The following is a 14713-nucleotide window of genomic DNA, read 5'->3' on the forward strand; positions in this document are numbered from 1 at the left end:
AGGTGAGTGGTGGGCGAGCGAGCAAAGCTTCATCTGTATTTACAGTCGCTCCTTATTGCTCACATTACTGAGCTCCACCTCCTGTCAGCTCAGCAGCCGCCTTAGATTCTCACAGGAGTGTGAACCTGATTGTGAACTGCGCATGCGAGGGATCTAGCTTGCACGCTCCTTATGAGAATCAAATGCCTGATGATCTGTCACTGCCTCTCATCAGCCCTAGATGGGACTGTCTAGTTGCAGGAAAATAAGCTCAGGGCTCCCATTAATCCTACATTATGATGAGTTATGTAATTATTTTATTATATATGACAATGTAATGATAATAGAAATGAAATAAAGCGCACAATGAACGTAACGTGCTTGAATCATCCTGAAACCACCCCCCGCTCCTGCCCCCCACACCTTCTGTCCATGGAAATAGTATCTTTCACGAACCAGCCCCTGGTGCCAAAAAGGTTAGGGACTGCTGATCTAGAGATTGTTTACTCAGTCTTAGATATCAGGGACTCCATAAAGGAAAGACAGAAACCAAGATATCAGTCCTCTTTGCTGGGACAGGGTGAGCCTGGATTTTTAGTTTTTGGTGACGGTTGATTCAGTGTATATTTCATTACTATTTTAAACATCTTCAATGGAGGTTTCTTCTTGCATTTTGTACATTAAGTGCTCTCGTAACATTTTAGAAAAAGATTTTTCTTTTACTCATATTTCAGGGTAACATAATCATAATAAAGAGGTTGAGAGCTTTTGGGAAAAGTTTCCCAGTTTCTTGGTGGCAAGGGAGGATAAGCCCGTTGTGCCCATCATTTATACTAGGCCGCTGCTATTCTAGCCCAAGAGGGATTGGAGAGGGAGCCAGATGGCCCTGGCAGACTGCAAGGATGAAGAGCAGGTCCGGGGTGATGTGCGCCACACACAGAGCTCAGAGGCTTGAGAGGGCAGCGCATGAGAGTGGCTACTTGGAGGTGGTCAGGAAGGCCCTGAGGCAACCTCTCATCTGATGGAGCCAGCATAATTTTGGAATCTCTCTAAATCTCCTCCTGGAAACCAGACAAAGCAGCTATAATATTGAGAGCTGAATGAACTCTTCAGTAAAGCCAGATTTAAAGAACTCCCCATGATCCACAGCATATAGGTGGGCAGCACCACCCAGCATCAGCAGCCATGAGGCTGGAGGGCTGGGGGGGGGTGGGGGCATAGGAGGGAGGTGAAAGAGGACAAATGACCTGCCCTAGTGCCACAAGATCCCAAGATCTCCAGGAGATACTCATCTCCATAACAGGGCCCTGCAGCGGGAGCCTTGACAAGTGGGTCTGTGAACAGCAAGCAAATTGGGCAAGGTCCTCTGAGGGTGTGCATGCAGATGCCCACAAACCCTTACAAAAGGGTCACCAAGGGGCTGCAGAACCACCCAGCGAACCTCCACTCAGAAAAGCAGCTCCTCTTCTGTGGACACGTGGCTGGGAGCAGAACTCAAACAAAGCCGGCGGGACGCCCGGAGTGGAAGGAGGGTGGGCTGTCCAGGGCCTGGCAGGGCCACCAGCACAGCACCTGAAGGCCAGGACAGCCACAGAGTGCAGACAGGTACCCAGTACCTTCGTCCTCACTGAGGCCAGGAGGCCGCCCTGGCTACCATGCTCTCTCCACGGAAGAGCCCTCCACGGGGCCAACACAGAAACACTACACCCAGTACTACAAGAGAAAACAAGGTGAACCCGAACAGGACAGTCCACACCACGAAACAGGGACCACAAGCCGGTGAAAACTGTAACCAATTATTTCAAACTGAGCTGAAAGAAATTAAGGAAACAACTAACTGCTGCTTTGAAAAAACAGCACAAATCAGGAATAGACGTTCTCAGAAGCGAGATGGCTGGACAAGAAGAACATGCGAAATGAGAACTGGCAAAACTCAGTAAAATGTGAAGGAAAACAATGTTAGAAATAAAGACCAAATTAAAAGAGACATAAGAGCAAAGAGACATCACAGAAAGCACAGCAAGATAAATGGAGGCTAGGAGGAGAACAGTAGAGAAGACAAACACCAAACAGATCATGTGGAGTTCGTTTGGATCCTGATAAAAAACAAACTGTAAAAAGGCATTTTTAGACAAGTAGGGAAATACGAATACAGGCAGAGTATTGATGATATGAAGGAATCACTAATTATGTTACATGTGATAATGGCATTGTGATTATAACAGTGAATGTCCTTATTTTGCAGAAACAAGTGTTCGGGGGTAGAATGACATGACACAAGGGATTTGCTTGAAAACATTCCAGTAGCAACAACAAAAAAGCAAAAGCAAAAAAGAAAGAAACAAAGGATAGATAAAGAAAACACAGCCAAATGTTGGTGATTTGGGATTTGGGGGATTATCCCATGGGAGTTCATTTTCCCATTCTACTTTTATGGACTTTAAAACTTTAATAATGAAAAAGCATGCTGGGAAGAAGGACACCTGACACACTGTGAAGAGAGCACAGCTGGCAGAAGGAACAGAAAGTGCTGAGGCACAGGTGGGCTCAAACTTGGAGATTTCCCGGAACAGCGAAGAAGCTTAGCAAGGACAGGGGGAGAGAGAGGGAGGTGGAAGGCGATGAGGCAGCGGAGCCAGGAGGGGCCAGATCATGGAAGCCTTTGCAGACCAGCAATAAGAGGAGTTTGGAATTTATCGCGAATGTGATGAGAAGCCACTGAGGGGTTTAACAATTAGGGGCAAAATTAAACCTATGTCGTGAAATGTTGCTCTGGCTGCTTTATGTAGAGGCCAGAGTAGAAGCAGAGTCCAGTGAGGAGACCTTGGCCGGACCCCAAGTGCCAAAAGAGGGTGGCCCGGACCTGGGCCCCGTTAGTGGTGACGGGGAGAAGAGCAGGACTTGAGATGTAATCTAGAGATATTGCTTGTGGGCTAGACTGGGAGTGGGGGGCGGGGAGGTGAGGAAAACAGACATTTATTTTTGGATTCCAGTCTTAATTACCTGTCTGATTTTAATCCTTTTCCCAGAAATGAGAGGAAAACTTTGCAGTTTTCTATGGTTTATCTCTATACAAAGGAGTCTGCATCTCTAAAAGGGAATTTCAAAAGCACTATCAGATTTAAACCATTTCAGAAGTCTGACTTACATGTGTGGTCACTGAGGTCACTCTTCCATATAGATATTACAGTGATAAGCTTGCAGACTACACAGGCAACTGACAGAAGGGATTTTACTGCAAGGCTAACTACTCTCTCTCAAAAAAAAATCTATGTTGGCACTTTCTGTTTGCCTCCCTCTATCCCTCTTAATTCTAGTACAGACAGCTTCTAATCGGATTTGTTGTGATTAGAACATACAGGTTTCAAATATGAGAGGTTTGAAGCAATGAATATTTATTTCAGATCTTTCTGGAGGAATGAGTACTAAAACGATCTATTCCTTTTCCCTACATGGAAAGTGAGGTCAAATTTCATATTCCAATTTACAGTTGGAGCAAGTCCCCAATACAAAATAGTGTCTTTTAGATTTACCAAAAAAAAAATAATAGCTTGAGCAGGCAGGTTTTGCTCACTTATTCTTACACCAAATGCTATTCTTCAGAGGTTCTGCACTATAAATAGAGACAGACACATGCAGTTGATGGACAAAGCAAAGAAATATCCTAAGGCAGTAGACAGCAAATGTAACCTCCAGCAAGAAATTCTTCAAAAGCCACACTAAAGTCTCAGGTGGTATGTCCCTGCCACCCAGAATCTAGCACTCAGCCCTGTATACATTCACGTTTAGTAAATGTCCAATGAATGAATGAATGAGTATTAAATCTTTGACTCCAATTGTCCCGCTTCTCTCCTGAACTCTCCAAGTCCCTGGGCTGAATGAAGAGAGACTCAGGTAGGGGTAATGCTTTCATGGGAACAAGGTCAAGAAGACCCCTGGTAACATTCATGGAAAAGAACTGTTATACCAAAAAGGCTAATCCCAACACAGAGTAACCTACAGAGTTTGCCCCATCAGTCCTGTTCAGAAAACCAACAACAGGGAGGCTGACACGGGTGGGTCATCTGAGGTCAGCAGTTTGAGACCACCCTGGCCAACATGGTGAAACCCCATCTCAACTAAAAATACAAAAAATTAGCCAGGTGTGATGGTGTGCACCTGTAAACCCAACTATTTCCAAAACTGAGTATGTACCTCTCTATATTAAAATGCAGAAAGTAATTACTATCACAGAATTTATAAATGAGGGAAGCAATACAAGAAAATTTCAAACACTCAAATGCTCAGAGCAGGAAGATAACTGACATTAATCATGAACCATCTTCCTGTCACCAATTCCTACCTAGAAGAAATTATAAACTTTCTAGTACACTTTTTTCTTTTCTTTTTCTTTTTAACTTTCTAGTACACTTTCTTGCTTTAATAGTTCCCTGTCCATTCCCTCTTTCCTCCTTATGAACAAAACCCTGCCTGTGACAATTATCCCCTTTCAGGGAAGGGCCTATCCCCAGCTGTAGGGATCCTGAGCAGGTTGACACTATCCCCTCCAGGATAACTCTGGGTCCTTGGCAATGACTGGGATGCCAACAGGCATGCATGTGATGTGTGACCATTCTGGCCAATGAGACATGAAGAAATCGGCCGCAGGGCTTCTGGAAGAGGCTTCCCTTTTCTTTTTTTCTTTTTCTTTTCTTTTTTTTTTTTTTTTTTTGAGATAGAGTCTCACTCTGTCACCAGGCTGGAGTGCAGTAGCGCGATCTCGGCTCACTACAACCTCCGCCTCCTGGGTTCAAGCGATTCTAGAGGCAGAGTTACCTGGGACTTGGCTTTGTCTTGTCTGACTGGACGGGCTGCAGCCGTCTTGCAGCCATCAAGGGAGCAGCCGGAGGAAGAACAGCAGTTTACAAAGATGACATCCTTGAGCTACTGAATTACTGTATTACTGGATTCTTTTTTCTTCGAGACGGAGTCTTGCTCTGTTGCCCAGGCTGTAGTGCAGTGGCGTGATCTTGGCTCACTGTAAGCTCCACCTCCCGGGTTCACACCATTCTCCTGCCTCAGCCTCCCAAGTAGCTGGGACTATAGGTGGCCGCCACCACGCGCGGCTGATTTTTTCTATTTTTTTTTTTTTTTAATAGAGACGGGTTTCACCATAGCCGGGATGGTCTTGATCTCCTGACCTAGTGATCCACCCGCCTTGGCCTCCCAAAGTGCTGGGATTACAGGCGTGAGCCACCGTGCCCGGCCTACTGGATTCTAAGATACATTTCCCTCCACATTTATTAATCTCTGAAATCAGATGTGTTTTCTAAGCTGCAGTATGTCATCATGTAACTGGCAGAGATTTTCCTTCCTTAGTGGAACATAGTACCAGGGCACATCTTACAGGTGGTGACATCTCAGAGTTGACTGCAGTTCACCCTAGTGCTGCCCTCACCTTGGAATTTCTTTTTATAATAAACTGTCTTGTTATAAATGCATTGTCCTGTTTCGGTTAGTTAAATTAGTTCTACTGTTAAGTTAGTTTAAGTTAGTCAGTTGCAGGGTTTCTGATACTTGCAGAAGAAGGTACCAGGCTTAACGGATATACAGATCAAGTAGGAATCCCTGAGGCTCCTGTGTCAGACTGACCAGCAACCTCATTACCATTCTTACCACACAGTTCTGTTAGTAGACTGAACTTTTAATGATCCCAGGACACTGGGGATGTGTGATTATATCTGACTATGTAGATAGTGTTTTCAGAGTGAGAAGGGGCCTTGGAGATTGCAAAGTTTAATTCTCTCATTTAAAAAGTAAGGAAACTCAGGCCCGGAGAGAAATGACCTGCCCAAAGAAGAGGAGTGGGTCAGACAGAGCTGGGGACAGAAATCAGGAGTCTGGACTGTTTTACACTCACAGGGGCCTCCTTTGTTCATTTGCCTGAAATGTGGAACACGGGAGAGAAGAATGTGGTGGAGGGTTATACTTGACTTTGACTGTAAACTTTCCTCCCAACTCACCTGTTAGGCAGGACTTTGGATGTGCTCTTGTCACTCCAGCTGTATTCCAGTGAGTATCCTCCATCTGTCACTTTCACCAGTTACCTCATTTGCTGTCACTTCCTCAGTGTTTTCCTACATCTCCCCCTTCTTTCCCTCAGTTCAGAAGGGCATATATCTTTTTTTAAGACCAGTAAACCCAAAAACTTGGCTGGTAGTGGGTGTTCGATGGAACCTAAGTGATTCTCTACCTGATATGCTCAGTTCTAAGTTTAACTCTCATCTGTTTTCATGCTGACCTTTAAGCCAAAGCAAAAAGCCACGAAAAGAAACATAATTACTTTGTAGTCATTTGTAAAACTTGTTTTAGTTGCTGTTATTTATCTCTTTTTCCTTTAAATATGTGATTTGGAGAATACTCAAATTACATCTTAGAGCCAGTCTTTTTCAAAAGGAATGTATCTCCAATTTTATAATCAAATAAATAGCAGCTTAGCATTGTACCTCCACTATGAGAAGTTCACCTACTTCTTAAAAATTGCAAACAGTCAACTCTCTGTGTTATGAAGAATATGTAGGAATTTGGCTAGTAGGTCATCCAGACCAAGTTACTATTCCTTTCATCTTGCTGAACAGTTCGTTGCTTACTCACACCTCAACAGACAAGGGCAGAAGCAAGGACAGTAGGTAAGTCCTGAGTTCTCATCTTGTTTCTGCTTCTAAATGAACAAGCTTCATCAATTTTCAGTGAATATCATCTCGCTGGGTTAGTTTCCTTGTTTTAATTTTGTTTTAAGCAGCAGTGGTCCAGTCATTCATTCTTTTGACCACCATTGACCACATTCCTATACTGCCATTAGCGCTGGGGGAGCAAAGATGAAGAAGACACAATCCCTGCCCTCAAAGAGTTAACGGCTTAGAGAAGCAGAGTAACGCAAATATGTAATAACTGATGAGAAAGGAACGATGGAGAAACACAATGCATTATGAGGATACAGAAGATGTCATCAGGATCAACTGGCTGCAAAGAACAGGAACCCACTAAAACTAAGTTGAGTAAAAAAGGATGTGGGGTTTCACTGGCAGGACACCCAAATGTCCTCACAGATTCAAACATCAGGAATTCTGCCAGCTCTCCAAGGGAGAGGAACTACAAACTGAGGGACTGTCAGAAATCTAAGCAGCATCTCTCTGTCCTTCTCTGTCAGCTTTGTTTGATTCTCTAGGACATACTCATTCCCTTTCCTGTCCTCCATTTAGCAGGGTCTGTGATCAAAGGCCATGGGGTGTGAGGTAGGCAGTTTTCCACGAAGGGCTGTAAGGGCACAGAGAGAAGGACTGACAGAGGCAACAAGTGTCATCTCCAGGAAAGAGAAGGTTGTGTGTGGACCAGAGCTGTATCATACAGAGGAGTTCAAAGACACCTCGGGACTTGCTTAATCCAACTCCTGGTAATTATAAGGGAAAAAATGGCGGTGAACTAAAGTCAGGTGAGCCCAAGGTCACCTGGCTAAATCAAGAAAGCCCAGAATGAACCCAGACTCTGGTCTCTTACTCAATCCAGGCATCAAAGCATACCCCAGCAAAATGCTGCAATGCTGGAGATTCAATTATCCTCTCCATTATCCTAATCAGCTGATAAGTTATGCTCTTAAAATCAAAGGCCAAGAAAATAACAATAAAAACAGTCACTGGGCAGTGGGTGTATTATTAGTAGGTTATCTTATTACTGAGATGAGTGATAGGATTATTCCCAGGACCCTGAGTGCAGGTCCTGTAACCAAATGTGAAGAGCAAATGTTATTACTAATCCAATCTCCCATTACAAATAGGCCTTGCCAATGAATTTAAACAAATACTGCCAGGAAAAGGCAGGTAATTTAGGGAAGTTAGCAAAGAAATATCTACAAAGTCTTGTTTCTTCCTTGACAAACTGAACTTTTGACCAACTACTTCCTCATTTGCTTTAAGAAAATCTGTAAATATAAACTGTTTACAATGATTACGAAAATAGCTACCAAAAGACATCCAACCAAATAAATGAATACAGCAGTAAACTAAGCTGGTCCTGTCTCTAATCTACAACACTATTATCTAATCAGGAAAGACTGAAAAACAGATCATTACGCTTTAAGAACACTATAATTAAAAGAGGCCTTCCCCCTTTCTGCTCTCCCAAACCCTGATCACAACACGGTTATTTCAAGATTCTACTTGCAGGAGCCCCATTTAAACAGGAAAAGCACTAATTGGGGCTCTAGTAGCAGCTGTACTACTTTGATGTCAGTTACAAGGATGAACTTGAACAGAATTTTTTATGGCCCTGCCAAGCCAGCCAGTCACCAGTCCAGTTAACCCTTCAGCCACTCGTTATTCCAATCATGATTCCTGGAACCGTATTCAAAAGTTGCTTCTTCAGGAACTCCGCGTGTGCCACATTCTCTGCCTGAAGCCCCTACGCAGAGCAGAATGGTGACCATCATAGAGCAGCCAGGTGGCAGCCAAATAAGGAAGTGGCGGCTCTGGAACCAAAGGCAGTCAGGTCAAAGCCTGGTTTGTGGGAAGTAGTACTGAACTGAAAGTGAGAAAATTCAGGCTCTAGTTACCACTTGTCATTACTACTGCAGCCTTAGACAATATTTCTGGGCCTCATTTTCCTTGTCTGTAAGAGTAAGTTGGTCTGCATGATTGTTAAGGAGTGTCCGACTCCTTGAAAACCATCGTTAGGGCAATCTGATTTGATTTCTCCAACACAGCCCTTGTTCCCAGTCAACTCTCTGGGTGGCGTGGACCACTCTGCTCTGCGGCTGGCTGTGAAGAGATCTTCCCCTCCCTGAGAGCTGTGTCCTGGTCTCTCTGGAGGGGGTTCTGGAATGCAGTGCAAACAGCAGCACCCCAATAGCCTGGGGCTGCTCTTGGTTCATGTAAAGGGCTTAGGTCATTGCAAAAATGAATGGTCCTAGCCAAAAATAATTGTTATGTTCATTTCAAGAATAATTAGAAAATAAGTAAATTGGTCATTGTTGAGGGGTGCTAGACAACCAGCTCTATTCTGAAAACTAGAACACAAAGAAACCAATCAAGCATTTACTCTGCCTGTCCTGTAAAAGTTATACCACAGAGCAACCAAATTGTTTGAGATGGGGAAGTTTGTCTTTGTAGACGTGTTCCAGCTGATAGATGAACCGGGAAGATGGCATGACTATATCACCTCCCTGCACCCTGAGGAATGTGGACACTGAGCATAAGCGGCAGCTAACGTCATCAAAAAGAGAGACAACCAGACATTTTGTGCCTCCTGCTAGAACACAATACCATCGATGAAGCAGCCTTGTGAAAACAAACAAGCAAATCAAACATGACTCTGATCAAGCATCTTCACCCAGCCACCAAATCTACAGTATAGACCAAGCACAGACACATGTTTAACGAAACCAAGGAGATGAAGTCAGCAAAATCCAGACTATGGAAAACAACTTGGTGTCTTCAGCGACAAAATTTCAGGGGGAAAAAAAGGGAGATGTGGAAGGAAAAATTATATATACATACATTTAAAAAGACACAAAAGACATATCAATCAAGAAGTGGATTTTATTTGGATCCCAATTCAAACAAACTGCTTAAAAAAATTATGACACCTATGAAACAACCAGAAATTTATAAACTGACTAGACAGCTGACATTACAGAACTATTATTAGTTTTATTTTAGGTGGGATAATAGTATTATGGTTTTGTTTCTTGAAAGTCTTTACACTTTATGTATCTTGAAACTTTAGAGGTCCATAGTGAAATGCTTATGGATTAAATGATATCTTAGATTTGCTTTGAAATAGCATAAGGATCTGATGGATGCCGGAGTCCATATGAGTTTATTTCAGTGTTCTATGTGTGTGGACATTTGAAGTTCTCCATTAAAAAGTTAAAACAACAACAACAACAAAAAAAACTCTTAAGAAAAATGACTGTCCAAGCATGGTTTCACTCTGCCCTGACATTTAACCTTGTACCATTCTGCACTGGATCCAAATGGGCTGAAACACACTACTCTTCAGAACAACTGCAGAGCTGGAGAAACCATCGCAAGAGGGCGTTTTATTCAGGTTTCAATTGTGTATGTACAGAACTTGGAGCAAAGAAAATTTCCTTGCTGTCTATAATATGGCTAGATCATCCCTACCCTTTCTCCCACTTTCCTTGCTCTTCCTTTATACTACAAAGCCCTAAAAATTATGTCAGGGAAGAGCCCTTTATGTAAAGAAATGAATTATCATCTTTACATACATAAGATTAGCTACAACTACCTGGTGACAATTTGGTGCACAAGCTTGTACAGGCAAGTGATGAACCGCAGAGATGATGGGTGTCACTTGGCATCACTTGCCTTTTTCTTTTTCCCTCTCACCCATGCCTTGGGCCTTGGGAGCTCCCTGGACATTATCTGGCTCTCCCGAGGCACATAGCTGGAGGCAGCAGACCCAATCTAGGTCAAATATGGGACCTAACACCTCCCTCTTTGCCTCACCATTTTAAAGAACAGCATCAGCACAACCAATGAATGAAATCAGGTAAGATCCAGAGTATCTCTGCAATCTCGTTTTAAGCAGATTAGAGAATGTAACCAACGCTTATGTATCTTCCTTTCTGTATTAGGAGCATATGATAGATCTGAGCAAACATTTTGTTTTTCTAACTAAGTCACACTACTTATTTGCTACTAAATATTAAAAGCTGTTCCAAAAAAAAAAAAAAAAAAAAACCCCACAATAACCCAATCTGGATTTTAGTACTGAAACTAGATCACCTAGGGAGCCTGGTCTTAATGCTATCTGCCATCCGCCTTGCAGAGGGCCTGGAATATGGCAGGTGCTCAATGAAATATGGCATTGAATAAAGAATGAAGGAATCACTCTTAATTAAACTCCCCCATTTTAGGAATGGAGAGTTTACATTTTAGAAATGTGACATCTCCATAAGGACATCTGCTCAGTGGCAAAGCCACTTATGCCAAAATATTCCTTACCTTGGATGGGTTCTGTCTACTAGTCCATGCTAACTCCTTGTAGAGTGGCACCTGAAAACAAGATGGCTGGCTGGCTGGCTGGCTGGCTGGCTGGAGAGAACTCACCCTCGAGATTCTATGGGACTTCTTTCCTTAGGCTACTTGGTTTGCCTAAATTAACATTTTAATTTTTTATTTAAAGCATAATAAAACTGTATACATTTTCAATTCAGAACTTAAGCTCAAACCTTAACTGTTTCTTTAAATGGCTTTTGGTCTATGAATTGCCAAAAGCACAGATATACCTCTAACAAGAAAATTGTTATTTCTTGGGGGATGGGGGAAGGTAATATATGTGTGTGTGTATATATGTGTGTATATATTATAGTGCCACATACACATGCACATGTACACACACACGTATGTATAAAAGCTTACAATGGGAAAATGGGAGGCGGGTGGCGGGGGGGAGAGGGAGGAAAGTGAGGTGCTATTTAATAAGAGCAGTTGCTCTAAGCACTGAACTGCCTTAAAAATAAACCAGCCACCAAGTTCATTAAAAATCAAATGCTGGACCAGGCAAAATTTTTCCTCACATTCAGAACACACCGGATTCTGATGCTAAAACAAAGACTATTGTGCAATCAGCAGAAGGCTTCAGTGATTGAGAGATTCTAGTATTCGCGAGAGCTGAAAACAGACTGGCAGGCACCCCTCACGGACACAGCATGCTATTTCATGTGTCTGCACTTTGTCTTTCCATAAAACAAATGGGACCTTAGGGCAAAAAGGTAAGGGGTACAAAATAATACATCACTCTTCACTTATCAGGAAGCATTTGACAGAAGACAGTTATGCTTCCCAATTAGTTCCTAAAAATAAACGCACAATATTCCATCATTTTATGGATTCTGCCCTTCTTGAAAACTGTTTTAAAACGGGCTTTGACTGTTTGCTGGAAAAACTGTATGGAAACATGAGCCTGACTAGTCCCATTTAAAAAAAAAAAAAAGGTACAAAAATGTCACGCTTTAACCACTTCACTGCTGCTCCAGAGAGCCTTCTTAGTTCAATGAATTCTGACACTTCCCGCAGCAGACAGCAGGCAGCATAGACACAGTTGAATTTCTTGTTAGTGAAGAAACAGTTCAATGGAGCAGTTTAGGAAATAAAACCCTGGAGGAAGAGTTTCAGTCACCCCAAATTTTTGACAGAATTTGCACATCTTTAAAGCAAGGATTAAACTCCAGGTTTTCACACACACAAAAAAAATTCAGTATAGCTTTCTTTATCAAGAGCTAAATCTGGATGATGGTATCATTTCTTGAAGCAGCAGGACTCCTAATTGCAACAAAGAACACCACTGAAATTGTTACCCAAAATATAAATATGATTTCAGAGCTGTTGGCTAGAAGCACATTTTGTGACTATATGAAACTTAATTTCACACCTTGTATAAACATTTGCTCATTCACAGCAATTGTTACAAGTTTTAAGGAAAACCACTATTTGTCTTGGCTAAATTACAATAAATCATATCCTTCTGATTTTTGCACAGGGTGATGGCTAAAGACGTTTTCCTTCAAAACTGGCGTAAGACATGTGTAAAGCCCCATGGAATCTGGGCCCATGTGCTCAAATGAAACTAAAATACGATCTCTGATCGTGAAGAAGTCAAACACATAAGAAAATGCACAGATGATCCAAAATTCCTCTCTCAGTTTATTTTAAAATGTGGCCATTTGTGAGAACCAATCCTAACTGAGGCAAGCTGTACAGTTCTTCCTTCCTCAACTATTCCCAGGAGAAGGGACTGCTAGTCCAAAAGAGGAGGAGGAGCAGAAAGGGCTCATATAATTTACAACAGCCTGGGCCGTTGAAGCTGGTGTGCATCCGCAATAGCAGGAAGGCAACTTACCACGTCAACACAATTGCAGAGCAAAGCCAGGAGATGGGGCAGGAGGCTATAGTCAGCCCTGTCACCCAGTCATCACACTGCTACCCCAAGCCAGCAAGCGGAGCTCAGGGAGAGGGGGCACACGGCGGCCAAGGAGGCAACGCACTCTCTAACAAAAACAGTCCTCCAATTTCCAACCAGATTTGACAACTGACTCCATTTTCTTCCTACTTTATTTTGAAGTGGTAGACAGGGTAAGAAAAGGGACTCCAGTCAGGAGGAAAGCACCTAGGGAAAGGCACTTACTACCCCAGACCCTCCCCTGACGTCCAGCCCGCCATGTATATGTTTCTATCAGCAGCAGTAGCAGAAGTGGTAGATACCACTTATCATGCACTTCCCATGTTCTTCCACGTTGGTAGTCTGTTTCACTCATGGTCCCCGGTGGAACACTTCCCAGTATTTATGCCCTTGTGGAGTCTCCTCCCCTTGAGTCTGGGACAGTCTTGTGACTTGCTTTAAACAATAAAACATGGCAGAATTGACATGGTGTCAGTTCCAGGCCTAAGCCCCAAGAATGCTTGGCAGCTTTTGCTTTCGCACTCTTGGGAACCCTGAACTGCCACCTAAGAAGTCCAGCTCTTCTGCTCAAGAGATCACGTGCAGAGGCCACACGGAGAGGGAGGGGCTCTGAGGCTACAGGGAAAGAGAATCAGCTCCCAACCAACCACACAACTGAATACAACTCCCTGAATGATCACTGACAAGATCAGGAGTAGAATCACCCAGCTGGGCCAGACCAGACTACACAATCGTGAGTAAATAAAATGTTTTGTTGTAAGTAGCCAAGTTTTGTCATGGTTTGCTATGAGGCAGACGATAAATGATTCAACATGTATGGCCTCATTTATTCTCATGACTACCCATGAAGCAGATACTGTTATCCCCATTTTACAGATGGGAAAACAGCACACAAGTAACTTGGTCCACAGCTACTGATGGGGAGGTGGATTTGAACCCAGTCGGTGGGACACTAGAGGTGGTCCTCTAAATTGGGGACCAACAAACATCTTCTTGAAGGCCCAGGGAGTAAATATTGTCAGCTTTTCTGGCTACAGGATCTGCCGCAATGCCTGACCTCTGTGCATCTCCAACTGTAGTACAAAAGCAGCCATATGTAATATGGAAATGAATGCGCATGGCTGTGCTCAATAAAACTCTGTTTACAGAAACGGGTAGTAGGCTAGTGGGCCTTGGTTTGCCAATCACTGCTCTAGTCAATGTTTTTCCAACTGTAATGATATTCACCACCTGAGGATTTTGTTAAAATGTAGATTCGCATTCAGGAGGATCTGTGACTGAGTTTCAGCAAGTTCCCAGGAGACCATGCTGCTGATCCACAGACCACACTTTCTGACTCATGACACTCAGAAGTGCCTCATGTAATTAACGAGCACTTATTTTGTCCCAGGCATAATACTAGCCACTTTCTATGCTTCCTCTCTCTTTACAATCATGTAAGTTTTATTTTTATCCCCATTTTACAGATGAGGAAAAGGATTAAAGTCACCTGGGCCAGATCTTTTCATGAAGAAAGCTACCATGGATTTTCCCTCACTGCATGGCTCCTGTTACTGGATTCAATAAAACTTACTCTTCACATTTCAAGAACACCACACTTTAGAAGGAAAATTTTAAGACATGCACAAAAAACTTTAATGATGGCTAACCTGCCAAGCAAACTTTCTCAGTGTTTTGTCATTCTGCAAACTTTCTGTCACTAAATAGGGAAGAGGGTCCTTTTATTTCAGCAGTAGCCCCTATTTCAAAGGCTCCTGTAATACTTTACAAAATT

At 42.9% G+C, this 14713-nt stretch overlaps 1 protein-coding gene across 5 annotated transcripts in view, besides 1 other annotated feature; it reads right to left on the minus strand.

The window, feature by feature from the left end:
* The window catches only part of MED27 (mediator complex subunit 27), a 219756-nt gene that overhangs the window by 108675 nt on the left and 96368 nt on the right, over positions 1-14713 (minus strand). The window lies entirely within an intron of this gene.
* Positions 3052-3252: a silencer, noted in NCBI's record as "peak7336 fragment used in MPRA reporter construct". NCBI's record gives its function as "represses an SCP1 promoter by STARR-seq MPRAs in K562 erythroleukemia cells {active_cell/tissue: K562}" and the evidence as "EXISTENCE:reporter gene assay evidence [ECO:0000049][PMID:32103011]".

Source organism: Homo sapiens, chromosome 9, assembly GCF_000001405.40.
Source record: "Homo sapiens chromosome 9, GRCh38.p14 Primary Assembly".
NCBI classification, from domain to species: Eukaryota; Metazoa; Chordata; class Mammalia; order Primates; family Hominidae; genus Homo; species Homo sapiens.